This window comes from Homo sapiens, chromosome 14 (assembly GCF_000001405.40).
Source record: "Homo sapiens chromosome 14, GRCh38.p14 Primary Assembly".
NCBI lineage: Eukaryota > Metazoa > Chordata > Mammalia > Primates > Hominidae > Homo > Homo sapiens.
In genome coordinates, this window is record NC_000014.9 from 92,970,405 (window position 1) to 92,997,999 (window position 27,595).

Here is a 27,595-nt window from a genome sequence, read left to right on the forward strand (position 1 = left end):
ACAGTGGTTACTGGTCCACATCCCAGGGCGCCCCTGCACGTGGGAGACCCCAGCTATGTGTGCCTCCGACACCGGCTCTTAGAGCTGCGCTCAGTCCTGCTTCCTGGGCCACTCCCGGTTCCTAGGGGCCCATATTATATGGCAGGAAACTGGGGCAAGAGGGGCCCCATTGTGTTGCTGATAGAGCAGGGCACTGGGGACAGGATCAGCAGGATCTAAGTTCTCGCAGCATCATTTTTTTTTTTTTTTGAGACGGAGTCTCGCTCTGTCGCCCAGGCTGGAGTGCAGTGGCGCGATCTCTGCTCACTGCAAGCTCTGCCTTCCAGGTTCACAACATTCTGCCTCAGCCTCCCAAGTAGCTGGGACTACAGGTACCCACCACCATGTCTGGCTAATTTTTTCATATTTTTTTAGTAGAGATGGGGTTTCACCGTGTTAGCCAGGATGGTCTCGATCTCCTGACCCCGTGATCCGCCCGCCTCGGCCTCCCAAAGTGCTGGGATTACAGGCATGAGCCACCGGGCCAGCCTTACAGCATCTTTTGAAAGTGGGGGTTGGAGTGAAACCCACCCCCGGACTTCTCAGGCCCCAGGGCAGCTATCTCAGCCCCACACGCCCTTTCTTTCCCCTCCCAGCACCAACCCATGGCCTGGAAGACTCCTGCTTATCCTCCAACATGGGTCAGGCACCCTCTTCCTGCTCACCTGGGAGCAGCCCCCTTGCTGTGCCACCCAAGGGCCCCACGCTGCTCATCTTGGCCAACTAATGAAGCATCCACCTCCCCCACCCGACTGGGCACTCTGCAGGATCCACAGAGGACCTGGGCTGTCTGGGTTTTAATCCTGGCTCCATCTTATATCAGCCGTATGACCCTGGCCAAGAAATTTTGCTTTGTTTTGTCTCAGTTACCTCACTATGCCTCAGTTTCCTTGCTGTAAAATGAGGACTAGAACAGCATCTGGTTCAGAGGGCTACTACCCCTCCCCCACTCATCGTCGTGGTCCCACTGCCCTCACTCAGAGGTGGCCAGCATCCAGCAGATGCTGAGGATGGGCCTCATGTTTAAACCCTGGCACTAGCAGGTGTGCATGAAAAACTCGCCGTACTATTGTCGTCATCACCTGGACCGTCATACGCAAGGTCTGCTGGGGAGGGTCCAAGAAGTAGGTCAAATGTCAGTAACACGCCAAGGAACAGGGGCACCCAGCACTGATGCCACAATGCCCAGGGCCAGGGAAGCCAGGGACACTGCAGGGAGGAAGCTGTCATGGCAGGGAAAGCCCAGGAAGCAAAAGGAGGGCCAGCCCAGTTGCCATGACTGGGACCGCCAATGCTCTGATCTGATATCTGTAAACTAGGCCAGTGATGCCGCCCACCTCCCGGGGTGGTTGCAGGGACGCGGTGAGGCCACGCCCATGAGGGGCATTCGGAATGACTGAGAATCGTATTGTCCAGCCCTGTTTCCATGGATGCCCACCCTCCTCGGGGTGCCTGGTACCCACCAGCACAGCACCCCCAGCCTGCTCTGGCCTGCCCTCCTGGGACACTGATGGAACAAGGGCTGTGGCCCAGCACCGCGACCTCTTCCCAGCTCCTGGAATCGATGTTCCTGAAGTCTGTTAATCCAGGAAGCCCCTTGTTGGTCCCCTCACTCCATAATCATCATCTCCACACACAAGATCCTCTGCCCACAAACCACCGTCCTACAGCTCTCACCTGTACTGAGACAGCTCCCAGCAAGGCGTCCATGCCCCGCGAGTGAAGCCCACAGCCTTTCCAGGCCTCCGCAGCCTGACTCTGTACCTTCCTGTGATGGGCTGAGCGCTGTTTCCAAGTTGATATTGAAGCCCCAATCCCCATGCCTGAGAACGGGACTGCACTGGGAGATAGGGTCTTTAAAGAGGTAAAATGAAGTCAGTAGAGTGGGTCCTAATCCAATAGGACTGGTGTCCTTATAAGGAGATTAGGACGCAGACACACACAGGGGAAGACCATGTGCAGACGTGGGGAGATGAGGGCCATCCGCAGGCCAAGGAGGGAGGCCTCAGAAGAAGCTAACTCTGCCAACACTAAGATCTGAGACTTCTGCCTCCAGAACTGGGAGGCAGTGCATTGCTGTTGTTTAAATGCAGCACTGTCATGCAGCCCACGCAAATGAATATACTTCCCAACTCTTTTGTTTGTTTGTTTATTTGTTTTTCTGAGACAGAGTCTCACTCTGTCACCCAGGTTGGAGTGCAGAGGCATCGTGATCTCAGCTCACTGCAACCTCCCCCTCCCGGTTCAAGCAATTCTCCTGCCTCAGCCTCCCAAGTAGCTGGGATTACAGGAACACGCCACCATGCCTGGCTAATTTTTTTGTCTTTAGTAGAGACGGGGTTTTGCCATGTTGGCCAGGCTGGTCTTGAACTCCGGACCTCAAGTGATCTGCCCGCCTCGGCCTCCAAAAGTGTTGGGATTACAGGCATGAGCCACCGCGCCCAACTCTTCTCTGACCGCACAACCCAAGATCGTTCCCAGCCAAACCCTTGTGCCAGGTGGATATACTGTCCCCACTATATCTCTGGGATGGTCCCCGTTCCATGCCTCACTTGGCAACACCTGCTCTTCCAAGCATCACAGAATCCCAGCTGTTCTGCAGAGCCCCCAAGAACACGCTGTCCCATGCTGCTGCCTCGAGTGGCATTCACCCTGCAACTCCTACCCACAGTCACGTCTTTCTAGTACTTTTTCTGGCACTGCTACCGAGTTTTGTTGTTTACCTCTTGTACGCTATTAAATTTTCATATATGGGTTCTGATTCAGTAACTAGGCAGTATGTTCCTTGGGGACAGGAGAAGGCAGGCCTCAGTAAGAACCATCTCTCTGGCACATGTGCACGTGTGAAGATAAGTTGATGGATGGGATAAGTGAGCCGTAAGCACTGGAAACAAAAGGAGGAGGGAAGCCCAGTGTTGGCACAGCCTGCAAAGGAAGGAGGAGGGGCCTGCAATCTCCCGCCTGGCCACCCTGTGGCGCTGTGGGTCTGGAACAGCCTTGAAGATGGCTGTGGCAGGACTGGAAAGAGCCTGGCCGGCCCATCTGTAAGTTCAAGTGCTCTGGACTCATTCAGGCCCTGGACTCATCCAAAGTCACCTTCCCTCTGTGGTTATGCAGTTAAGGGGCGGGAGTCACATGCTCTTGAATTCTAGACAGGGAAGATGTTCTGTGCATCCGGGTGAACCAAGTTCCAGCCTGACAGCAGCTCTGGAAACAACCCAAATGGCTTTTTGGCCAGCGATGACGATGGCAGCCACCCAGTAACACCCACAGTCAACTCACAGGCACGTGGGTGGGAGGGCCGCACAGGCCTGAGCCAGGAGGGGGATGCCAGGAAGGGCCCGGGTGAGAGGCCCCGGGATGCAAGCGACAGAGAGACAGAGGTGGTCCCAATCTGAAGGGACTTAGAGCCAGAAGAGAGGGGCTGGATGCACCCTCACCACCACAGCACAAGGTCCTGTCCACGTGGCCTGGCTGGAGGGCTCCAGGCATTCCATCCTAGAAAGCCATGTGCCTTGCCCGCAGGCAGGGCCCCTCCATGCCCCTCTGGGGTGCCTGACTGCCTAGGCCCCCACCCTGCCCTCCTGCAGATTGGCAGAGCACCAGATCCCTCTGGCTATGCTGAGGAGCTGCCCTTGCCCTGTGCCTCCAGGGTACATCCCTAACACCTCCGAACTGTCCCTCTCGCTTAGGATGAGTGACTCATCTCTCCCTGAAGTTGGGGGCCCCTGGAGGGTGGGGCCCCTGCAGGGGCTGGCACTGAGCAGGGCTGGATTTGTAGGGGATTTGGGCGCTTCCGAAAGGATGGAAACAATTGGATGGCAGTGACATCATCGTGTGTTAAAGGTCTATGAACAGTCCTGGATGAGATAAAACTGGAATGACATGTTGTGTTTTGTTTGTGAAGACATTAAAAGTTCCAGATCCTGAAGCTGGCATGCCCTGGGGATGCAGGACAAACAGCCTGGCTCCTGGAAGCCACCTGAAAATCTATGACAGCCCTGCCTGGCTCCTAGGAGCAGTGGACCCTCAGCCTCGCAGCCCCTTGTAGCTAATGCAGCAACCTCAAGGGCCTTGGGCAGGCCAGGCATGTGCAGCGATGCATACATGTAGGACACAGAGCTACGAGCCCAGGTTCCAATCCAAGGTGCACAGTCTCAGGAGCTCCCCAGGAGCTAGCATCTCTCATGGGCATCGGGCGTAAGGACACAGTGGCCCTCTCAGGTGCCCTCGTGGGACAAGGGAGGAGAGAAGGCACTTCCCGTGCTGCTTAGGCACTGAGGAACTCAGAGCTGAAGGCACTCAAGGCCAATGGCAAAAGGCCCATGGGGCCTGGGTCACTGAAAGGCAGCCTGGAGTGAGTCTTCCCCAGCAGGACTGGGTGCTGCCCAGCCGTCCGGTTCACTGAGGAAAGGAAGGGTCACATGAGGACTGTGGTCACAGGAGGAGCGGGGGTGTGAGAGAAGGCCAGGCCCTTGCCACATGGACTAAGCAGTGACTTCACAGCTTCAGGGCACAGGGGCTAGGGCAGGACTGTGTCTCCTCCCTTGGACCCACCATGAGGAGAGGGTAGGGAAGTGGCATCTCCTGAGTGTTGGCATGCCTCATGCTGTTGCGAGGGGGCAAGGGAGAACTCGGGAGGTGTGACCTGTAAAGCCCAGCCTAAGGCTGAGCCGCTGCTCCATGCTCCCCAACGGCTCCCATGGCCTTCGGAATCAGGTCCAGACTCCTTGCCAGCCTTGAAGTCCTCCATGGCCAAGGGCCTGCCTATGCCTCCCTCCTCCCAAGCTCTGGGCAAAATGAGCCTTGCTCGGTTTCTCAATCAAGCTCCGCCACAGGGTGCAGGCTCAGTGCCCCAGGCAGTGCCCCTGACCCAGTACCCAGTTCCTCCGACATTAAGGCTTCTTGGGTGCCCCTGCCCCAGTACGCAGTTCCTTCCTCCCTGATGGAGGCAGATGAGGCAGGAGGCTCGGTGGGAGCAGGGACTATGCCTGCCTTGCTCATCTCTGTGTGCCTGGGACCTGCCCTAGAGCCTAGAACACAGCAGGCCTGCCATGGTGGGACGCTTAATTCTTGTCAGCTTGACTGGGCCACAGGGTTCCCACATATTTGGTTAACATTGTTCTCCGTGTACCTGAATGAGATTAGCATTTGAATTGGTAAACTGAGTCAAGCAGACTACTTTCCCCAATGTGGGTGGAGCCTGTCCAATCAGTCAAAGGCCTGAATAGAACAAAAGGAAGGGTAAGAAAGAATTCACTCACTTGGCCTCCCTGTTCAAGCTGGGACATCAGTCTCCTGCAGTAGAACCATAAATTATAGCATCAGCTCTCCTGGTCCTCAGGCCTTTGGACTTGGACTATGATATGGTTTGGCTGTGTCCCCACCCAAATCTCATCATCCCCATGTCATGGGAGGGAGCCGGTGGGAGGTAATTGAATCATGGAGGCGGTTACTTCCATGCTGTCTCATGATAGTCAGTTCCCACAAGATCTGATGGCTTTATAAGGGGCTCCCCCCATGCTCCCCTGCTTCATTCTGCACTTCTCCTTGCTGCTGCCATGTGAAGAAGGGCATGTTTGCTTCCCCTTCCACCATGATTGTAAGTTTCCTAAGGCCTCCCTGGCCCTGCAAACTGTGAGTCAATTAAACCTCTTTCCTTTATAAATGACACAGTCTTGGGTATGTCCTTATAGCAGTGTGAGAATGACCTAATACAGACTATAACTTACACCACCAGCTCTCCTAGGTCTCAAGTCTCCAGTTAGCAGATAGCAGATTGTGGGACTTCTCAGTCTCTATTTCTTACATGCTTCTTTCCATTATGAAGTAGACCCTAAATGCTGTTCCCTTGAATGTGAACTGGCCCTAGAGCCTCACAGATAAATAGAATATGGACTCTGGAAGCAAGGCCAGAGAGGCTGTCTTTCTCGGGACACACCCCTGGGTCCCTGAGCTGCCAAGTCAGTAGTCTGGCTACTCTGTCACCATCATGCTAAACTGCCATGCAAGACTGCATGGGAGAACCACCCAGCTGAGCCCAGCCAAGCTGCAGATTCATGAGCACAAGAAACACCATTATCATTTTGGATTTCCATCTAACAGACAACCAAAATGAAGGCTCATAGAGATGACATGTGTTGGGCACTTAACACAGCATATGCAGGGCTTAATGTCAACAATAACCAGACAAGCAATGCAGTGTGCTCTGCGCCATCAACAAGCACTTGCAGGCATCAACTTGTGTCATCTTTATAGCAATGCCATAGCACGGATCACTATCACCACTCCATTTTGCATGTGAGAAGCAGAGGCCCTGAGTTGGTTGCACGTTCAAGATCAAAGCCAGCATGTGGCGGGAAAGAATACCCTTGACTGCTGGGCAAACCACTGCATAATAGCCTTTGTCACTGGTCTCCAGTCTCATCATTCCCACTTAAGAACACTGAGTCTGGAAAGAGTTAAGGAAGGCTCCTTTCCCACTTCAGGGACCAGGAAACAGAGGCACTGGGCCAGCTGTGCTTCCCAAACACTGTAGCCAGTCCCAGAAGCTGCCTGGCTGAATGCTCCATACTGTGTGAACTTGAGACGGTTACTTCACCTTTTGGTGCCTTCATTTCCTGATCTGTAAAATGGCAATAAGAGCAGTCCTGCTCATAGGATTGCTGTAAGGATCAAACAGGTTAACACACAAAGCACTTAAAACAGAAACCAGCATGCAGAAGACACCAAGTGTCAGATCCCAACATCCTGTCCATCATTATCGTCATCATCATCACTGGTATTACTATTTGAAGGTCTGCCATTTAAAACCATCCAAGATCACCTTACAGAGCCTATCACTGCTCTGCAGTCTGACATGGCCCTGGGGGAGGCAGGGGAGAAAGAAGAGTAGAGAATACTGGAGGAGTGACATGTTTGCTTCCTCCTGCCCAAAGATGGAACTCTTGACCCTTAGGCATTAAGGAAGGTGCAGCCTTCTCGTCCATCTACCTACCATGACAGAACTCGAACTCAGATCAGCAGCAAACTTCTAAGCCAGCCGACGTGGTTTGGCTCTCTGTCTGCACCCAAATCTCATGTTGAATTGTAATTCCCAGCATCGGGGGAGGACCTGGTGAAAGGTGACTAGATCATGGGGGTGGATTTCCCCCTCGCTGTTCTCATGACATGAGTGAGTTCTCTCGAGATCTGGTTGCTTAAAAGGGTGTAGCACTTCATCCTTCTTTCTCTCTGTCTTGTCACCATGTGAAGGTGTGCCTGCTTCCCTTTCACCTTCCACCATCATTGTAAGTTTCCTGAGGCCTCACCAGCCATGCCTTCTGTATAGCCTGTGGAACCGGGAGTCAACTAAAACTCTTTTCTTCATAAATTACCCAGTCACAGGTAGTTCTTTATAGCAATGTTAAGAACAAACTAATACAGAAAAATGGTACCAGAGAAGTGGGGCACTGCTATAAGGATATCTGAAAATGTGGAAGCAACTTTGGAACTAGATAACGGGCAGAGTTTGGAACAGTTTGGAGGGCTCAGAAGAAGATAGGAAGGTGAGGGAAAGTTTGGAACTTCCCAGAGACTTGTGGAATGGTTGTGACCAAAATGCTGATAGTGCTATGAACAGTGAAGTCCAGGCTGAGTAGGTCTCAGATGGAGATGAGGAACTTACTGGAAACTGGAGTAAATGACATTCTTCTTATGCTTTAGCAAAGAGACTGGCATATTGTGTCCCTGCTCTAGAGATCTGTGGAACTTTGAACTTGAGAGAGATGGTTTAGGGTATCTGGTGGAAGAAATTTCTAAGTAACAAAGCATTCAAGACGTGGACTGGCTGCTTCTAAAAGCCTATGCTCATCTGCAAAAACAAAGAAATGACCAGAAACTAGAACTTATATTTAAAAGGGAAGCAGAGCATAAAAGTGAAAAATTTGCAGGCTGACCACGTGGTAGAAAAGAAAAACCCATTTTCTGAGGAGGAACTCAAAGCTGCAGAAATTTGCATAAGAAGCCCTGAAGGCTAATAGCCAAGACAATAGGGGAAAATGCCTCCAGGGCATTTCAGAGACCTTCACAGCAGTCCCTCCCATCACAGGCCAGGAGGTCTAGAAGGGAAAAATTGTTTTGTGGGCTGGGCTCAGGGCCCTGCTGCTCCATGCAGCCTCAGGACATGGCATCCTGCATCCCAGCTGCTCCAGCTCCAGCAGTGGCTAAAAGGGGCCAAGGTACAGCTTCAGAGGGTGCAATCCCCAAGCCTTGGTGGCTTCCACATGGTGTTGGGCCTGCAGGTGTGCTGAAGGCAAGATTTTAGCCTCTGCCTAGATTTCAGAGGATGTATGGAAACACCTGGATGTCCAGACAGAAGTCTGCTGCAAGGGTGGAGCCCTCATGGAAAACCTCTGCTAGGGCAGTGCAGAGAGTAAATGTGATGTTAGAGACCCCACAGGAGCACTGCCTAGGGGAGCTGTGAGAAGAGAGCCACCATCCTCCAGATCCCAGAATGACAGATCCACCGAGAGCTTATACTGTGTCCCTGGAAAAGCTGTAGGTACTCAGTGTCAGCCCACGAAAGCAGCTGTGAGGGCTGTACCCTGCAGAGCCACAGGGGTGGAGCTGCCCAAGTCTTGTGAGCCCATCCTTTGCATCAGTGTGGCCTGGATGTGAGACATGGAGTCAAAGGACATTATTTTGGAGCTTTAAGATTTAATGACTGCCCTGCTGGGTTTTGGACTTGCATGGGGACTGCAGTCCCTGTAGTTCTTGTTTGGGCTAATTTCTCCCTCTTGGAATTGGGTCTGTTTAACCAATGACTGTACCCTCATTGTATCTTGGAAGTAACTAACTTGTTTTTGATTTTACAGGCTTATAGGCAGAAGGGACTTGCCTTGTCTCAGATGAGACTTTGGACTGGGACTTTTGAGTTAATGCTGGAATGAGTTAAGACTTTGGGGGGCTGTTGGGAAGGCATGATTGTGTTTTGAAATGTGAGAAGGACATGAGGTTTGGGAGGGGCCAGGGTGGAATGATATGGTTTGGCTCTGTGTCCCCACCCAAATCTCATGTCAAATTGTAATTCCCAATTTGGGGGAGGGACCTGGTGGGAGGTGATTGGATCATGGAAGCAGATTTCCCTCTAGCTGTTCATGTGATAGTAAGTTCTCATGAAATCTAGCATGTCGCACTTCCCCTTTTGCTCTGTTTCTCTCTCCTGCTGCCACGTAAAGACATGCCTACTTCCCCTTTGCCTTCCGCCATGATTGTAAGTTTCCTGAGGCCTCCCTGGCCATATTTTTTGTACAGCCTGCAAAACCGTGAGTCAATTAAACCTCTTCATAATTTCTTCATAAATTACCCACTCTCAGGTAGGTTTTTTTTAATCCCTTTTTTTTTTTTGGAGACAGAGTCTCACTCTGTCACTCAGGCTGGTATGCAGTGTGTGATCTCAGCTCACTGCAGCCTCAGCCTCCTAAGTAGCTGTGATTACAGGCGCACATCACCACGCCTGGCTAATTTTTGTATTTTTAGTAGAGACGGGGTTTTCCCATGTTGGCCAGGCTGGTCTGGAACTCCTGACGTCAAACGATCCACCCGCCTCAGCCTCTCAAAGTGCTGGGTTTACAGGTGTGAGCCACCATGACAGGCCTCAAGTAGTTATTTATAGCAGTGTGATAACAGACTATACACCAGCCCCAGAGGAGCACTGAGGCCTGGATCATCTTTGGGCAGAACACACAGCTTCGATGCAGGATCCTCGTGTTTAAAATACAAGGCTGGATCTGGGGCTGTCAGTTGCCAGAACAAGTCCAGAGAAAACACAAAGAGAACACCACCCAGCCCTGACAATGTTCTTGGCTGAGCCAGAGCCCCTGAGGCAGCCGAGTGAACTCCATGACAGAAACTTCTCTGAAGGCTTGAGAGGAGGGGAGAAAGGTGGAGGGCTCTGGCCCATGACAAGGCCAACAAGTCCACTCCAAGCCAGGTGGAGGGGGCCTGTACCACCCCATGCCCCAAAACAAGAAAGGCTCTCACCAAGAGGGACCATCTCTATTCCTGGTGATAACTTGGCCTTTCTTACCTGCCTGGCCTTTGTCTGTGCTGTATCTGCCACTGGAATGCCCTCCCTTCTCATCTCTGCCTGTTGAAATGGAATCTTTATCACTGAAGCCCTGGGATTTGGCCCAGGCTGGGGACTTATTACTATTGGGGGCCTACAAAGGGTCCCTCTCTCATAGTTTGTTTGTTTATTTGTTTGTTTTGAGATGGAGTCTCACTCTGTTGCCCAGGCTAGAGTGCAGTGGTGCGATCTTGGTTCACTATAACCTCCGCCTCCCAGGTTCAAGCAATTCTCCTGCTTCAGCCTCCCAAGTTCAAGCAATTCTCCTGCCTCAGCCTCCGAAGTAGCTGGGACTACAGGCACGTGCCACCATGCCCAGCTAATTTTTGTATTTTTAGTAGAAACAAGGTTTCACTATATTGGTCAGGCTGGTCTTGAGCTCTTGACCTCAGGTGATCCACCCACCTTGGCCTCCCAAAATGCTGGGATTACAGGCATGAGCCACCGCACCCGGCCTCTCTTGTAGTTTTTCTTGGCCGCCGTGGAGACACCTGGCCCACCCTTGGAGCCCCCCAGCACTGTCCTGCCCTGTGGAGCTGGCACACAGATTGTGGTTATGGCTTGTCCTGTGTTTCCTTCTCCTTAACTCATCCCAGATAATAATGCCTGCCCTGATGCCTGCCAATGTTCCCCCTCAATTTCTGGCCTCCATCCTATTTCTTCCTGACCAGAGTCACCACCCTCATCACACCCTCAGCATCTTTTCCAGAAGCCACAGCAGCCTCCCAATGGCCTCCCTCTCTCCCCGCATAGGCTAAGCAGAAACTGGCCCTGGAGGCCCTCTGGGCCTCGGCATGGGGCTCTCTCCCGCAGCACCAATAGCCCCCATTTCTCCTGAACATCCTGCTCCCTCTCCCTGGAATGGCTCCCACCTTCCTCTAATTGAGCCCAGTATTTCAGAGCCGCTCCAAATACCACCTCCGCGAGAGCCCCACAGACAACCAGGACCACCCCTTCCTGTGGCCCCGAGCCCATGACCCCACCTGCCCCAGGCCTATCTCCCATGGGAGTGGGATTTCTGCTCAGAGCCTCCCCCAGTGCATCTCCTTCTTATGTATCTGATTCTTGAAAACATTCTTCCCTCCTTTGCATACTTATTGAGCAGGTACTATGTTCCAGGCCCTGACCTGTCATGGTCCCCAAAGACACACTCGCCCCTGTCCTCAAGGCTGTCACGGTCAGGTGGGGAAGACAGCGGCCAGCAGACAATGACGAAACAGTGGAATGAATGTGCGATGAGGGCAGCAAAGGGTCTGTGAGTAGGGAGGAAGGCACTGAGGCCCACGCAGGGAAGGGAGTGTGCAGCACAGAGGGCTTCTGGGAGGAAGTGGCCTGAGCCAAACCCCAAAGTTGGAGTTAGTCCTGGGGACCAAGAGTATTCCAGATAGGCAGAACACCATGGACAAAGGCCAAGGGTCAAGAGGGGTGCCCCTGGGGTTCGGCTTGGCTGCAGTGTGGAGTGCAGGGGCAGTATGACAGGAGACGCCACCCAGGAGAGGGAATGGGCAGGGGCGACATGCCCCAAGACACCCAGCACAGGTGACAGGGCCTGGAGAGATGCAATGATAGCAATTAAATTCCATTGAACTTATAAGTATGCAAGGGAAAACCATTGTATTACTCAGTGTGGCAGGCAGAATCTAAGTCAACCCCAAGATCCCTGTGGCCGGGCAACACCCTGCATGATCGCCAGAACTGCATGCATGATGGATGGGTTCTCCTCTGTGACTCGGTTCTGTTGCATTGCTGCCCTCAAAACAGGGAGATGGTCTGGGTAACTCTTAGGGCATCACACACAGAGCTTCTTCTCTGAAGAGGAAGCTGGAGATTCAAAGCACAAGGAGACTGGCCAGCTGTGGCCGCCTTGCAAGTAGAGGGGCACCGTGAGAAGAAACACAGGACCTGTAGGAGCTGCTGGCCAGCAAGGGTGGGGACCTCAGTCCTACAGCCACCAGGAACTGGATTCTGTCAATGAGAGTTAGCTTGGAGGTGGATGTTTCCTCAGGGCCTCCAGAAGATCACCTGCCCCTGCGGACACCTTGATTTCAGCCCGTGACACCCTGGGCCAAGAGCCCAACCACACCATGCGGGCTTCTGACCCACCCACCCATGAGATAATAAATGGGTACTGTCAGAAGCCACTCAATCTGCTGTCATCTGTCATGCAGCAATAGGAAATTAACACATCCAGCTACTATGAGCTTTCAAGGGGGAAACGCAATTGTGATATTTGGAGTCACTGGGGGAAAGCAGGGGGCATTTCGCCAGTGGCCACAGCCCCCTACCCTGCTCCTTGAAGGCATCTAAGAGACCCTATGGCCTTACCACAGGTGCAACCTCCCTGCTAGCAGCTAGATCCTCACTTAGCTACCTGGTGACAGGCAAGCTGTGGAGAGAAAACACTGGAGGACGAGAAGAGAAGACAACAAATGCCACAGGTGCAAAGTTACAGTCCAATACAGCAAGCCACGGGCAGGGGAAGAGCAGGTTTCCTCCCACCTGACTTAGCTAGTGACTCATTTCATCTTATGTGACCAGAGAGCTGTTTGCAACCACAATGTCCAAAGCCCAGGAGAAGAGGAGCCAGACACTGGCTCAGACAGAGACAGGCATTTCTGCGCCCGATGTCTGAGTCTGGCGGCAGTAGCTGGAAACGTGGGTAGACTCTGTGGCAGCTGCTCCCACTGATTTACAGCCCCTTCTGGACCCAGGCAGACGCTCACTGTCCCTGCTCAGCTCCAGCTCCCGCTCCCAAAACATGGCAGCCTTTTTTACTTTCAAGACATTTTTAAAATGTTTGGAGGGCTCTTTCTGGTAGTACCTATTCTAAAAGCAAAACATCTTAGCTTGGACCCAGAGCAAAGATGACGCTTACATTCATGAACCCGTCCACAATTTTTAACAATGGGACAATTTTCTTCATACAAAAAGGGATCTAATTAATCAACAAGCCCAACAACTCAACTAAAAAATAGGCAAACAACAGGCAAAGATTCATTCATAGAAGACAAGCAAATGGAGCCAGTGAATCCATGATGGGATACTCAATTGTGCCAATAACGACAAACACACATCAATCGAGGTGGGTACGGCTTCCCCAGGCAGACTGGCACCATCAGGAGTGAAATTTGCTCAAACTTTTTGAAGGGCAATCCAGTGAGATCTGCCAAAGTGAGGAATGTTTATAATCTTTGGCTGAGAAATCCCACTTCTAGGGATTAATTATGCAGAAATATGCAGGGAGCTGTTTACTGCAGCCCAGTTTGTTTAAAAAAAAAAAATCCAAACAAGACTGGAATGACCTTATGGGCCCAACATAAATTAGGATTCATTCATTCATGTATGGAAATATTATGCTGCCAGCAAAAGGGGCAGACCTGATCCCCCTCATCTTCATGGGCTAACATGGAAAGAAGCGAAGCAAGACACATGTTCAGTGGGGACAAAGAGCTGTATCAGGACACGTGTAAAATGACCCTGTTTCTAAATGTACACATTGCACTAGAGCCTACTGTAATGAAAAAATAATACTAAAAGTGCACATGTATCTCTACATGTATGAATAGGAAGGGTCTAGAAAGATAAGTTCCAAACTATGAACAGTGGCTGCCTCAGGGAAGTGAGGCTGGAGTTAAACAGATTCGAGAAGCACCAGCAATGAGGGCCCCACACACTAATACAGGGAACTCAAGAACAGACCTGTGCAGGGCCGGAAGTGAGGGCGGCCAGAAGGCACCCAGTCAGGGAATTCCTGAGTGTGTTGAGTGCAACAGTCTCTCAAGAGAAGCCTCAAAGAGAGGAGGGGACTCTATAGTTAACTGGATGGAAAAGGCTAAATTCTGCAGAACTTCACTGATTCTATGGCATGTTTTTCATATTTTCCATCTCTGAAATTGAGATGTGTCTCATAATTGATATTTCACAACTTACTTAGGATTTTTTTCTTTTTTATAGAATATGAAGTATCAGTGCATCTTACAATCGGTAATGAAATTCAACACTGCCCCCAGACTAAAGATTCATATTAACACATTACTAAGGCTCTGAGAAGTCCTGCAGCAAAGAAACATGTAATCCTGATTCTCCAACATATCTGACACTTTTCTCTTTTCCTTATTTTGCCTTTCCCTTTGTTCACACGTGAGATTATGCTGACACTCCACAAGGTGCCACCTGGTGCCCTGTGGATGTCTGCAAAGCTGCAAGGGGATCCTGTCACTTCTAGGGCAACTGGGGTGGTTGGGACACAGTTCTTATAATTCTGTATGATGACTGTTCGGTAAATACCACAGTAACAATGGCAACACCCATCCACGGATGCTACAAGAGAAGGGCAAACATATGAGAGACAGTCTGCAAAGAATCCTCTTAGAAGGTTCTTGCCAACTACAAAGGAAAAAATAGAAATTTAGAGTGGAAAAGCCTGGTGGACTTTAACCAAATAACTGCTGCTGAGCAGACAGAAGACATCGTTGTCCTCATGCACCTCCTGATATGACGCACTAGGGAGGGACTGGCACTGCTGGGTGGTGTTCCTGCTGAAAATGTATGACCTTGACCCAGTCACGAAAACACCAGATAAACCTGAATTGAGAGACACTCCACAAAATAAACAGTCAAGGTTCCAAAGTGTCAAGGTCAAAACCTGAGGCTCCATCCCAGATGGCAGGAGACCACAGAGAGCGACAACCAGATTGGATCCTGGACTAAAAAATGGGTATTAGTGGGACAACTGGGGAAATTCGAATTCATTTAGGTCTTTCAATTATTGAATAGTTATCAATGTGAACTTCCTGGTTTAGATAATTATGGTCAGATAGGATGTTAACACTGGAGGAAGCTGTGCAAAGGGTATATGGGAACTCTGTGTACTATCTTTGCAACTCTGTCAAAATTTCTTAAAAATAAAAATTACACTAAACAAACCTGTGCAATGTGAACTTTATTATAATAAATCTACAATACATCATCTAGTAGCCAATAAAGAGATTTTTAAAAGCCCGCTTGTGTTACATGATTGGTCACCCTGAAGACACTCTTGTTTGGGGAAATAAACCCAGGTACACATTTGCAAACACGGGGCTGGGCGTTTGGGCAGAATGGACAGAGGGGAGCAAATGCCTGGCAGGGTCTGGTCTCATGGGGGTCACTGCAAGCCTACCATCAGGGCGCCAGGGGCTGCTGCCTTTAGCACTAAATGCAAGTTGAGAAACACAGGACTCACAGGGTCACAGCACACAGGGTGTGGTCTGAAACTCACAATGCACTGTCTGCCAGGAGAGCTCCCATCTATTGAGGAATCCTTACAACAACCTATGAGGAAGGTGCCACCAACATTACCTCCCTCCCCATTTTACAGATAGGAAAGCTGGGGCTCAATGCAGTTAAATAACCTGCCTAAATGCACACAGCTGGGTGTTTAGGAGAGGATCTGAACCCAGGCAGTCTGACTTTAGATTCACTATGGCGCTGCTTCTGAAAAGACCCCTGCAGAGATGTGGGTCCCATGGAGACAGCACTGGACTGAGAGTCGGAAAGGTGCTGAGTGGTCCTGGGTCAGCCATGCAACCACTCTGGGCCTCTATTCTCATTGTTGAGGATGTGGAGAAGAGCAGTTTTTGTAGGGCTTCCAGAACTCAAGATCTCTTTCAGCTGGAAAAACACTAAGTGAGCTATAAATTCACACTAAAGTGTAAATGGCTGCTGTTGGATACCTTCTGACCAATCTGACCAACAAGGAGGTTTTGAGTACCCATGTACCCTGCTTATATCCCAGGGGAGCCAGGAGACTCAGTGTGAGTAGGGGGAAGAAAGCCTGGGAGTGGAGTCTGGAGGGAGTTAGTCAACACAGCCAGGGGAAAGGAATTTTGGGTGAGAGCCAGAGTCCCAAAGACAAACAGTCTGTTCACCAACTGGCCTAGGATCAGCAGCAGTGCCCTAGAAAAGTGATCGGAGCCAGCTGATGTCATTGGGAGAGTACCTCCTAGAGGAGGGGTGCCTGTGGGTTGAGAGGGGACAGAGGTTTTCAGAAAGCTCTGCAGGAAGGCCTGGGGCAGGCCCACCTGGACCAAGTGGGGTATCTCGTCCAGAAGCCACTGAGCTGGAGGGCGCTGGAGGGGTTGGTGGGCTGTGGGTGGAGGGGCCTTCTTGTTTTGCTGGGGAGCGGGTCCCTGCCATGGTCTTAAAGGCTCAGCAAGGTTAAGCTCTGAGTGAACAGACAGGAACATTCTTCCCTAGATGAAGGTGCATCTCTCCTGCAGGGTGCCAGCCAGTCGCCATGAGAGCTCAGTCCACTCCTTTGAGTCTCTCCTGGGAGCCTCCAGACCAGTGCCCTGGGCAGGAGGGACAGAGGGCAGCAAATGCCTGGCAGGGTCTGTTCTCATGGGGGTCACTGCAAGCCTACCATCAGGATGCCAGGGGCTGCTGCCCTGTCCACAGTGCCCACAGCTGTGGAAATGAGGAGCTTGGCAGAGAATCCAGCATCTGTTTCATCTCTGCCAGTGCCCTTAGGAGGCCTGGACCTGACAACCTCTCCAGGAAAAGCTGATCCAGGCTCCCGGGCCACTGTCCTCCAGGCACATACCCCAGTCCTGGTGGGACAAAGGGGTGAGGCTGCTGGAGGGAGAGTGGGGAAGCTCTCACTACTCTCCAGGGACCCCTGCTGCAGCTAGGCCAGGGAAGAGGAGATGGCACAGAAAGGGCTGCGAGTAGGCCTGTGGGCCTGATGTGGAGCTGGCTTTGGCTGTGGGGGTGCAGGAAAGGGGACGGGGCAGTGTGAATGTGGGGGCGTGCTCCCTGAGGCCCTGTCCTGCCCTGAACATCCCTGGCCTCTGCTGCCTCAACTGAGAGCCCGGCCAGCAGGACTGATGCTTCCGAGATTCCCAGGTCCTGGGGGCTGACAGGGTCTTGTCTTAGAATGTGAATGTCTGGATGGCTGCACAGGTGGCCCCTGGCTCCAGAGGACAGGAGCAGAACCCACAGAAGGGTCAGCCAAGGGCAGGGAGATGGGAGGGATTCTGAGAATCAGCTGTAAAATAGATGTTTGTTGTAAGGGAACAGGGTGAGCTTTGGCATCAACATGGAGCTCAGCTTGAAGATGCACCAGCTCTGAAACCTCAACTAAGTTACCATAACCTCTCTAAGGTTCCACACCCCCCATCTGTAAAGGGGGAACGCTACAGCTGAGGGAAGGAGCAGCTTCAAGGACAGGAGGAGCCACCCTTGCAGGCCAGACCTGGTTCCACATGCTCTGGGGCACCATTTCTTCCTCACCCCATGACTCCCGGACTGGGGGAGGGCACTGGCTTCCACACGGCAGACGCCAGGACGGCAGCTCACGCAGACTCAGACCAGGGCTAGCCTTGGTCCCAGCTGCCGCCTCATGCCGGCAACGCACCTACCCGGCCTGGTCTGCAGCTGGCGCTTAGCCGCCCCAGGGCAGGGGAGCCACAAGCACAATCCTGCTCTGCGGAGCCTCCCCTGCACTGAAAGGGCGGGTCTCAGCCTGGGTGGCAGACAACAGCCGATGTGAAAACAAAAACAGTGGTGCTCCCACACATCCCTGAAGTCCAAGAAAGGGAACCACAAACCAAGCACCTCCCCTGAGAGACCCTACCTCCCTGGCACCCTGTCCTCCCTCATTCCAGACCCTTCGATGGGGCACGCTGTCCCCTCACCTCAGCCCTGTGGTCTGGGCAGGCTGACACTGGGGGAGGCATGGGCAGGTGCACACCAAGGGGTCGCTCTGCCCGATCTGGGGTGGGGCCACCAGCTGAGACGCCCACTCAGCACGTCCGAGGCACTGGCGACCCACTTCCCAGATGAGTGAACAACTCAGGGGAGAGTGACTGGCCCAGCCCCCCGAGGGGCTAAGATTGGAAGCCTTATCAGCGACAAGGTCCTTCTTTCCTGCCATGATGTGTGGCTGCCCTCAAGTATCATTTCCTGGACCCCAGAGGGCACCCCCAGGGATGATGGCCATGCCACCAGCACCAGGTGAGCCTAGGCAGGACTCACCTGCAGGCGCAGAGCCCCATCCCTACCTATCTTTGCCTCGGTCCCTCTCCATCAGCCACAGGGGAACTGGGGGTGTGGAAGGGGTACACACAGGGGTGAGGGACAGGGCTTGGGAACCACTGGCTAAGAGCAGACCCACACTGTGTGGATTCTGATCCCAAATCTGCCCCACTAGCTCTGTGACCTCAAGTAACTTAAGATCAAAGCCCCTCAGTATCCTCACCTCTAAATCGGAGATGAAATCAGAACCTTCCTCATAGGGTCATTAAGTGGATTAAATTAGGTACTGTCTGTAAAGTATTTAACCCAGTGCCTGGCACACTAAGCACCTGCCTAAGCGCTGACAGACGCACAGCTCAGAGAGGCCACACAATTGGCGGAGGGTTGGAGGGGTGGCGGTGGCAATGGGCAGGGTCTGAGGCCTTGACTCCAAGTCCCCACCCCTCTGCAGCTCCCCGAGGGTTGAGAGCCAGTTCCTGCCTCTGGGAGCAGCTCCCCACCAATCACAAACACCCACCCCCAAGGCAAAAGCTTTTTGGGGAATTATTTCTCCAGGCTCTAAGGAATGTTACTTTCTCTTTGCTTTGTATCCAGACTACTCAATTTCAACCCAGGTTTCAAATGGCCTCTAAGATGAGCCCTAATTAAATTCCCGTAAAACCACAGGCAGAAGCATTCAATCTGCGGTATGCACCCCCCATCCCCAGGGAGGCCTGGGATCCCAAACAGGCCATCTGTCACCCCCAGAGCAGACACATGGGAACTTCTAAGAGAAGAAGAACAGGAGAGCCACCCATCACCCCAAAGCAGTCAGGGCTTTCAAGGATCTCTCCAGCCTGTTGCCCAATGGTCTGAGACCTGCTGTCCCTGAAGACAGGGACACAAACCCACGCCATGCAATTACGGCCCAGGTGCCTTCTCATACATGGTGCCTTCTCAGCCAGTTTGGGAGCCAGCTAGAGCCGTGCCCAGAATCGCTCACCCTAGGGTAGCACAGCCATGCCTTGGCTTTGGGGCTTCCATCTCTGGACCCTGGCCCTGGGTGGCAGAGTGGGCTGCTGATGGGAGAAAGAGCCTGCAAATTCAATGTTTGTTACTGCGGCCTCCTCCCTCCCTCCCCGAGGCCTGCACCAGGGAATGCTTAATTTCTAGGAAGAATTAAGTGCTTGGTTTGAATTGAATCCAGGCTCAACGCTGCCTGTGCCTCTGCCTAGGGGGTGCGGGTGTGGGGAGGGACATGGGTATGGGTATAGGCATGGCTGCCTCCCAGAAGCAGTCATCTATGAGGGAAAGGTAGGGCCCTGGCATGCTGGGGTGGGTCATTCTGCAAGCCTCCAGGATGCTGGTTGCTACAAAGAGGGGACTGCTGCTGAGGTCACAGGCCGAGGCCAAACCCCCAGCCAGAGGAGAAATTCCAAGGTTGTTCTGCCATGGGAAAGTTGGGTCCTCAGGCAGGGACCCATGTCTTGGAAGACTGCTAATGCTCCCCTAAAACTCGTTCTAGCCCTTCTTCCATGGTGATAAAACCCGAATTGTAGCTGGGCATGTGGCTGCTCAGAACAAGGACTCAATTTCCTGACTCCCTTGCAGCTTAGGATGTGACTAATTCTGGCCAAAGTCCCTTCTCCCAGCACAAAAACATGTCACTGGATTGCTTTCAGAACCCCTCCTTAAAAGAGAACTAGGCCTTCTTCTCATTTGCTTCCTTTTTCTTGATCTTCCTCTCCATCCTAATGTCTAGATCTTGGATGTGAGGGCTGGAAATACAGCCATCACCCAGGACCAGATGGGCAGACCACAGAAGAATAAGGAGCTAGAAGGAGCCAGGGTCCCAGCCCCTGTGCCCGTGCTGGATGGCCTTCCTCTGGGCTTTTACATCAGAGAGAAAGGAAGTTCTGTCGCATTTAAGCCACCATGATTTTAGGTCTGCTGTTAAAGCAACTTGAATGCTAATTGATACGAAGTGGGTGGGTTTGAAGCTGCCAGAGCCGAGGCAGAGAAATGACCCTGCTTCCCCTCCAGGCTCTGAATGAGACAAGAATGAGCTCTGGGAATGTGGAACTGAGAAGGCAGTGACCTCACACAGGCTGCCCGGAGACAGCGATGCTGGGAGCTCCCAGCAGCAGGCCTCATCTGTCTCCTGGATGCAGAGCTGGGGTGGGAGAGGCCCTCCACGGCTGATGCTCTGCAGGGAGACAGACGGCCCACCTGAGCACAGACCCTTATCCAAGGGCTCTGCCTGCTATTCCTGGGAGAGCCTCCCCTTGTGCCATGTCCCAACTGCCCACCCCCACCGCAAAGCAGGGGCTCTGGTCGTCTCCCTCCCACTGCTCATCAATGAGGATCCTAGCAGTCCCGAAGCACCCACCCGTCCCCCACCAGCTCTGTTTTCCCTGCAGCTGTCCAGAGTCTCTGAAAACAGAGCAGTCTTACTGCCGGGGCAGGGGGGGTGACAACCGGGGCAGGGGGGGTGACAACCGGAGGAAGTCTCACCAAGCTCCTTCTCCCAGCACAAAAGCGTGTCACTGGATTGCTGTGATTATCTGAGGGAACTTCAAGGGTAATTATGGCCATTTACAGTACGCCTGAAAGGGCTGAGTGCCTCCAGGAACAGCAGGCAGTTGAGGAGGGGGGCCCAGGGTGTGCTTCCCAGGAAGGCTCTCTGCCTCTGCAGCTGGTGGGGGCATGCAGCAGGGACCCACCCAGCGATGCTGGTGAATGGACAGCCACTGGGGGTCAGGAAAGGGCTCCAGGAAGTCCCAGCCTCTGACCGCCCTCCTGGAAGAATACAAGCCCAGGCTCGGCGTGCACGATAAGGAAAACCCAGCGTGCAACATTTATGGCCCACCCACCCTACACTTCCTGCTGATCTAGAACCAAGCATGCGTTAGGGTTTGGTCAACAGCTCTCCCTGGACCTGTTGAGGACGGGGCCCTCTCCTGGAACACCCACAGCTCTCCCCTTATGGGTAGCTCCTAAACTTTCTAATCTCCCAGTGAACTAGGACACACCCTGCTTAAAATTCCTGACCTGATTCCTAACTGCCTCCAGGAGAGGCCCAATTCCAAGCCAGGCGAGCGGGCAACAGAGGTACCTCCTGGGCCTTCCTCTCACCATGTGACTTCCTACGGTCCACCTCATCACCGGGTTCCTGCTCCTTGAACACACCGTGCACACACCCACCCTGAGCCCAGGCTCACCCTTGATCCCCAGCCCTGGGCTTCTACTCCTAAAAATCTAAGATGGATGTGAAGACTCAATTAGGATGCTGGGGTCCTGCCATCGTGGTGGGAACAGCTGGAGCAGCTGCTGTTCCCGGGTGACCCAGTGGGCCGGTCCCATGCTAAGTGCTCTGCAGACATCATCCCAGGTATCCTGACCCCTGACCCCGTGGCTGAACCAGGTATCACCCATATCTTCCAGAACACCAGCAGAACTCAAATGACTGATTTGTCCGAGACCACGTGGCTAACAAGAGCCCAGACAGGAACCCACATGCCAGAGCCTGTGCTTTTGGCTCCAAAAGGCCCTTCAGCGGCACCTCCTCGAATCCCACCCAAACCCATCACTCTTCGAATGGACTTGTCCGGGACATGAGATGTGGCTGCTGGTCTGCCACCTTCTTCTGCTAGCTGGGCCTTCTCATGTTCTAATACAGCCTCCTGCTCTTCACACAGGCAGTGTCCAACAAGCACACCTTCTGGAAAGAGGCTGATTCCCTTTCCCAAATTTTACCAAACCTTCACCCATGGCAGACTGAGATGAAGGTGACCCCAGGAGGGAACATACAGCTCTTTCTTCCCATCTGGGATTCTGGATGGATCCAGGAAGACAGTGCAAAGGGAGATGAAGTGCACAGCAGAGGCCAATCACTCCAGGCCTAGCAAATAAAGGCTGCTGGCATGTGCTAAGAAAGCCTGCCTACATGGGGCACCAGCATGACACCCCCATTCTCTGCACCCAGCGGTGTGTCAGGCATTCAGGGAAAGAGGCCTCGGGAGCCCTTCCAGGACAGCCAAATCCAGCAGCCAGCTCTTCTGCAGGGCACATTCCTCAGAGAGGGAACCGAGGACTCACCTACTCTCCAGGCCAGGGTCCTCAGTGGTACCCATTTCAGGTTCTTCTAGATCCAGGGCCCTCTGGCCATGGACATGAAAGTCAAGCTCAGGAATAGGGGCCGGGGAGCCTGAGTCAGACAGACCTGGCTGGATGCTGGCCCAGCCACCTGAATGCTGCGTGACGTGGCATGTCTGCTAACCTCTCAGAGCCTCTGGGATTCATCTGTAAAATGGGAAGGCTTATCATGCCCACTTCTAAGAGTACCAAAAGGGAGAATACAAGGAGAAGGCCTAACCCAAAGGCAGGAACACAACACATAGCCAATAAATGGTGGTCTCAGACTCCCATGCAGATGGTCTGCCTCTGGAGCTGTGAGCCAAATGGTACCCACTGGTCCCACCGGTCACCATCACAGGAAATTATGCCCAAGGCCAAGTCACCATCCAGGTCAGGGTTCAAGGCAGCCAGGTTAGGCCTCAATCATGGTCTGTAGGGCAGGGAGCAGGGGCTGCCTCCTTGACCCCAGGATAAATCCTCACAAAGCCGGAGGGCCCAGGCCAAGCACTTTTCCTTAAAATTAAACAAGAGCTCTCAGCAGGGCACACTTGGACTAAGCAGTGAACTAGGAGGTTACTGTTAACATGAATCTCTCCACAAAGTCTTTCTCACATAAACACCTTGAGAATGTGGCCTTGAGTTCTCTGGCTCTGCCTGCCCAAGGGGTGGGGAGGCGTCAGGGTGAGCCCTCAGGGACAGGAGCCTGCAGCTGGCAGGGGAGGCGCCGCAGTGAAGAGGGAGGCCCCTGCCCTCCAGAACAGAGTGGACCCATGAGGTCCAGCAGCCACATTACATCTCCACGTGTTTGATTAAAGGCCTTCAGTTTCTGTTTGTGTCCTCCGCGCAGTTACGTAACTCCACTTGCTTGCCTGCCACTGAGCTGTCTACACACACTCCTGCTCTCCAGCCACTGTGTTACCGGGACACTTCAATGTCACCCATGGGTTCAACACAGCAAAACAAAACCCTCAGAGCCCCCTTCCGCAAGAGCACCCTGAGGCTTTTGTTTCCTCACTGCTGGTCACAGGAGAATGAAAGGACCTCCCCAGAATGACTGCACCATGGAATTCAAATGCTTCCTGCCCCAAAGTGCTTAAAAAGACAAGACCCCTCTGTCTCCACACCTCAGGCCGTGGCCACTTTGTGACCACAAAGGTGGCTGCCTGCCACGGATGTGGTGCCACACGTGTCCCTACCTTCCATGTAGGCCTCAATCTTCCGGATGAGCTCATAGGACTTGGAGCGGTCAAGCAGGGTTCTGATGGCAGGGAGCGGGTCCAGGACGATGGTCTCAGGGTGGGCATCGATGTACTCCTGAAAGGGAAGCATGCTGCTCTGGTTAGAGCAGGGGTAGGGCCAGGTAGCAACTCACCCCTCGCGCCCTCTGCACGTCCATCCGTTCCTGTCCTATCCTCCAGCCCTAGCTTTGGTGGAGGGTGGTGCATTCCAGCACTGGGACATTTCGAGCAGTCACCTGGAGATCTGAGAGAGAGGCTTGACTAGGCCAAACTCAGAAATAGAGCACCACACAGAAGACAGAGAGGAAACTGCAACCAGGCTCAGGGCAGGCCGCCTGACTCCAGATAAAACCTCACCCGGAAGCAGATCCACTCCAGGCACTGGCTCCTCTGGGAGTGGCGGCCCCATGCCCCGCACTGATAAGGACTCTGAGGCAGGGGCGGGAGAGTGGGATGAGGCCAGGAGTCATCAGAGGGTCTGCGGGAAGGTGTGGTGGAGAGAAACACGCCACAGGGTGGGCACCAGCCACCCAACACTCCTCAAGTACTCCACTTCTGTACCTACTAGCTTTGGGGTAGGCACGAAGGAAATGCAAGAGAAACCGTGACAAAAACCAGTCTCTAAGGAACTTACTATCTTCTTAGGGGAATAACCCTAACTTACATGGGGGGAAGACACTGCTGTCCAGAACAGAACTCAATAAAATAATGGGCAGAACCCCACGCCACCCAGGTGGGCCAGACCAACCCGAGCTGACATAGCGAAGGAGCCCACCCTTGCTCCCAACCTCCATGATTCTAAGGACAAAACTGGAATGCTGGTGTGATGTGGGGGTCTCAGGGAAAAAGCTGGCCTGAAGAAGGCCTCAACCAGCTGCTGCGGGTTGAATTGTGTCCTCTCAAGTCTTAACCCTTCAGCATTTGTGAACGTGGCCTTATTTATAAGGAAACAGGGTCTTTGTGGATGGAACAGAGTTAGGACTCCATATGGGTGGACCACACCATATGGGTGGGCCTGAATCCCCTGGCTGGATTTCTTAGGAGAGAAATCTGAACACAGACGCAGGGAGGAGGCCGTGTGGAGACAGACAACTGCAGTGACACACCTACAAGCCAAGGAGGGTGGAAGGTGCCCACCACCACCACCACTGGGAGCCGGGAGAGGGGCAGGGAAGCTTCGCCCTCAGGGCCTCCGGAGGGAGCCACTGCTGACGCCCTGACTGGAGCTGTTGGCCCCCTGGGCTGGGAGATTCCTGCAGCGTTAAAAGCCTCCCTGTTTGTGATACTTGGTTGTGAGAGCCGGGGGCAGCAGACATGCCAGCGTGATTCCTCCGCCCAGCCAGCCCCCCTGCCCTCTGCTCACCCACTCCACAGCCCGTCAGTGAGGCCTGCACAGGCTGGGGAAACACACCCCAGTGCTGCCTTCCTAGTGAGCCTTATGGACAGAGAGAAAGAGCCATTTGGAATTATTTTTCTTAAGTGAACTTATTTTGGTCCTAGTGACCACTTGTTAAGCCAAAAGCCACTTTTAACACAAAAACCAGAGACTCATATTCCCACTTCTGCTCTGAAATCAGCCTCTCCTTGGATTTCGCGGCAGAGTATCTGGCCCTGGGCTCCTTTCTGTCTGAATGTTTAAAGACTTCCTCTGGCCTCAGTGGTGGCCGGCGTAACCTAGGGGAGGCCTCGCATTCCAGTCCTCACGCCTGTGACTCTCCTCACCCCTTAGCCATCCTCTCCCTGCACATAAGTGCGAGGACCTAGATGCGGGGCAGAACCCTCCAGCCGTCAGCAAGCCATTTGGCCACCAACCCACTGCCTGTAGACAGTGAACCAGGCACTGATGCGGGAGAGCCCAAGTCTGCCGCCCACATGGAGCCTGGGGACTAACCGAGGAGTCTCCTTAAGGAAGGTTTTATCTAGAGCTGCCCTGGGGCCAAGCAGCCACACCCAGTGCCTCTCTCCTGACAGTCTCAGCCTCACCCAAGCACCTACACCTGATCCCTCGTCTCATTTGGGAGCTCTCCATGGGCAACTACCCCTCTTGGCACCATTCCGTCATCAGAGCTTGTTCTTTTAAATGCAGTCCATGCTTCCAAGAGAGCAGGTCATGCATGAGGCCCTCCCCGCCGAGACTCACACATATGTATGAAATCATATTCACAGCCCAACATTAATAGCTGGGTGCAGTGGCACAAGCCCCTAGTCCCAGCTCCTTGGGAGGCTGAGGTGGGAGGATCACTCAGGCCCAGGAGATTGAGGCTGCAGCAATGCACAATGGTGCCACTGCACTCCAGCCTTGGCAATAGAGTAAGACCCTGTCTCCAAAAAAAATAAAGAAAAATAAATGTCAACATTAAAAGGTCATCCACTCAGCTAGAAACCATCACTCTGAGCAAACTATTGCGAGGACAGAAAACCAAACACTGCATGTTCTCACTCATAGGTGGGAATTGAACAATGAGAACACTTGGACACAGGGTGGGGAATATCACACACCGGGGCCTGTCGCGGGGTGGGGGGAGGGGGAGGGATAGCACTGGGAGATATACCTAATGTAAATGACGAGTTAACGGATGCAGCACACCAACATGGCACATGTATACATAGGTAACAAACCTGCACGTTGTGCACATGTACCCTAGAACTTAAATTTAAAAAAAAAAAAAGGTCATCCACTCAAGAGACTTCACATCACTGACAGTGCTCAGGGCATTATGTGGGGTGCAGCAGATACTCAGATGATCAAAAGCCTTCTCCGCTTCACCCCGCCAGATCTATAGTCCTGGCTAGCAAGTTCATGTCCTCGGTTATGAGCTAAAGGCACTTGGCTGTCCTCACTCCCTTCCCCTAAACACACCAGGAAGCAGCCTGGTGTAGTGGGAAGGCTATGTGACCTAGAGTCAAGAAACCCAGGCGCCCGATGTCGTCACCTCTCAGAGTCACCTTTGGGCAAGTCACTTGGCTTCTCAGAGTCTCAGTCTCCTCATCTGTGACATGAAGAATACTCCAGATGCCCTTAGGGTCTCTGTAAAGATGGCCTCTGGTTCCAAGGGTGTAAACAGACTGAGAAAATGGAGAGTGTATTTGTAAAGGTAAACTTGAAGGCTGCACAGGGGAGCCATTCTAGAACGGGATGGACCACCAGCTAGAGGCATTCCAGGTAACGGGAGGGCCACCCACGCATTCGCTGCCTTCCTTCCAAAAGGGGGCCAACAGCCGAGCACGTGGATGGGATGACCCAATTCTCCCTCAGCAACCGAGGCCACTTAGAACACAGATGTGCTCCTTCCTCCCCTCGAAGTCCCAAGAAAAGTCTCCGCTCAGCTCTGAATAAATGAGGGCGATTCTGATTCCATGTTTATGCGTTAGGACAGTGACCTTTAAAGAGAGAACTCAGATTCATTAAGACATGAAGTTAAGCCAAACTCATGAGGGAAAGCGGCTACATGAAACCAAAGGGGAAAACATCTGACAAGCAGGCGTCAACTAGCTTTTGACTGGGGATGAAAGCATCAGCATTAACAGAAGAATTCTTCCTAAACACGATCTCTTCTGGGATGGGAACAGAGAGGGCAAAGAATTTTTCCAGTCACCTCACTATCCACAAGCGGACTTTGTGCCAAGCTTTCCAGCTTACCTATTATACTGAGGGCCTCGTGTATTTTTCACAAGTCTCTTAGAATTACCAATCTGCTGGGTGGGTGAGCTTCCGTACCATTTTATCACCACTCAGAGGAAGAAGGGCAGCGCCGTCTCCATGGCAAATTGTAAGCACATGTTCCCTCGCAGGGCCTGCCAGCTAAAGGACACCAAGAGTGGGATCCTGGAGCTAACAAGGGCAGCCTGGCTCTAGGCAGAAACATTCAGCCCCTGCCAGGATGAGGGCTGGAACACACCTGGGGCAGAGCGTCACGGTGCCCACCTACAGCGCAAGCTCTCTCAGGGTTTTCAGAGGCCCCAAGCCCATGGAATGATGCCAACAGAGACAACTGGCCCTTTGCTAAGCTGCCACTGAGAATCTGAGCAGAATGAGATGAACGTCAGAGATACTCTTTCCTCCTCGATCCTCACAGGC

General features: G+C 52.9%; 1 protein-coding gene across 6 annotated transcripts in view, besides 4 other annotated features; it reads right to left on the reverse strand.

The window, feature by feature from the left end:
* The window catches only part of ITPK1 (inositol-tetrakisphosphate 1-kinase), a 179,012-nt gene that overhangs the window by 33,491 nt on the left and 117,926 nt on the right, over window positions 1-27,595 (reverse strand). For all 6 annotated transcript variants that reach the window (NM_001142593.3, XM_047431351.1, NM_001142594.3 and 3 more), the window contains one exon: window positions 23,476-23,593. In NM_001142593.3, the coding sequence (NP_001136065.1) occupies window positions 23,476-23,593 (118 nt within the window). The remainder of the gene's footprint in view (window positions 1-23,475; window positions 23,594-27,595) is intronic.
* Window positions 2,940-3,529: an enhancer, noted in NCBI's record as "H3K4me1 hESC enhancer chr14:93439689-93440278 (GRCh37/hg19 assembly coordinates)". NCBI's record gives its function as "activates a minimal SCP1, AML or CMV promoter by ChIP-STARR-seq in primed H9 embryonic stem cells {active_cell/tissue: H9 hESC(primed)}" and the evidence as "EXISTENCE:reporter gene assay evidence [ECO:0000049][PMID:30033119]".
* Window positions 3,530-4,117: an enhancer, noted in NCBI's record as "H3K27ac-H3K4me1 hESC enhancer chr14:93440279-93440866 (GRCh37/hg19 assembly coordinates)". NCBI's record gives its function as "activates a minimal SCP1, AML or CMV promoter by ChIP-STARR-seq in naive H9 embryonic stem cells {active_cell/tissue: H9 hESC(naive)}" and the evidence as "EXISTENCE:reporter gene assay evidence [ECO:0000049][PMID:30033119]".
* Window positions 4,118-4,705: an enhancer, noted in NCBI's record as "H3K27ac-H3K4me1 hESC enhancer chr14:93440867-93441454 (GRCh37/hg19 assembly coordinates)". NCBI's record gives its function as "activates a minimal SCP1, AML or CMV promoter by ChIP-STARR-seq in naive H9 embryonic stem cells {active_cell/tissue: H9 hESC(naive)}" and the evidence as "EXISTENCE:reporter gene assay evidence [ECO:0000049][PMID:30033119]".
* Window positions 23,109-23,791: an enhancer, noted in NCBI's record as "H3K27ac-H3K4me1 hESC enhancer chr14:93459858-93460540 (GRCh37/hg19 assembly coordinates)". NCBI's record gives its function as "activates a minimal SCP1, AML or CMV promoter by ChIP-STARR-seq in naive H9 embryonic stem cells {active_cell/tissue: H9 hESC(naive)}" and the evidence as "EXISTENCE:reporter gene assay evidence [ECO:0000049][PMID:30033119]".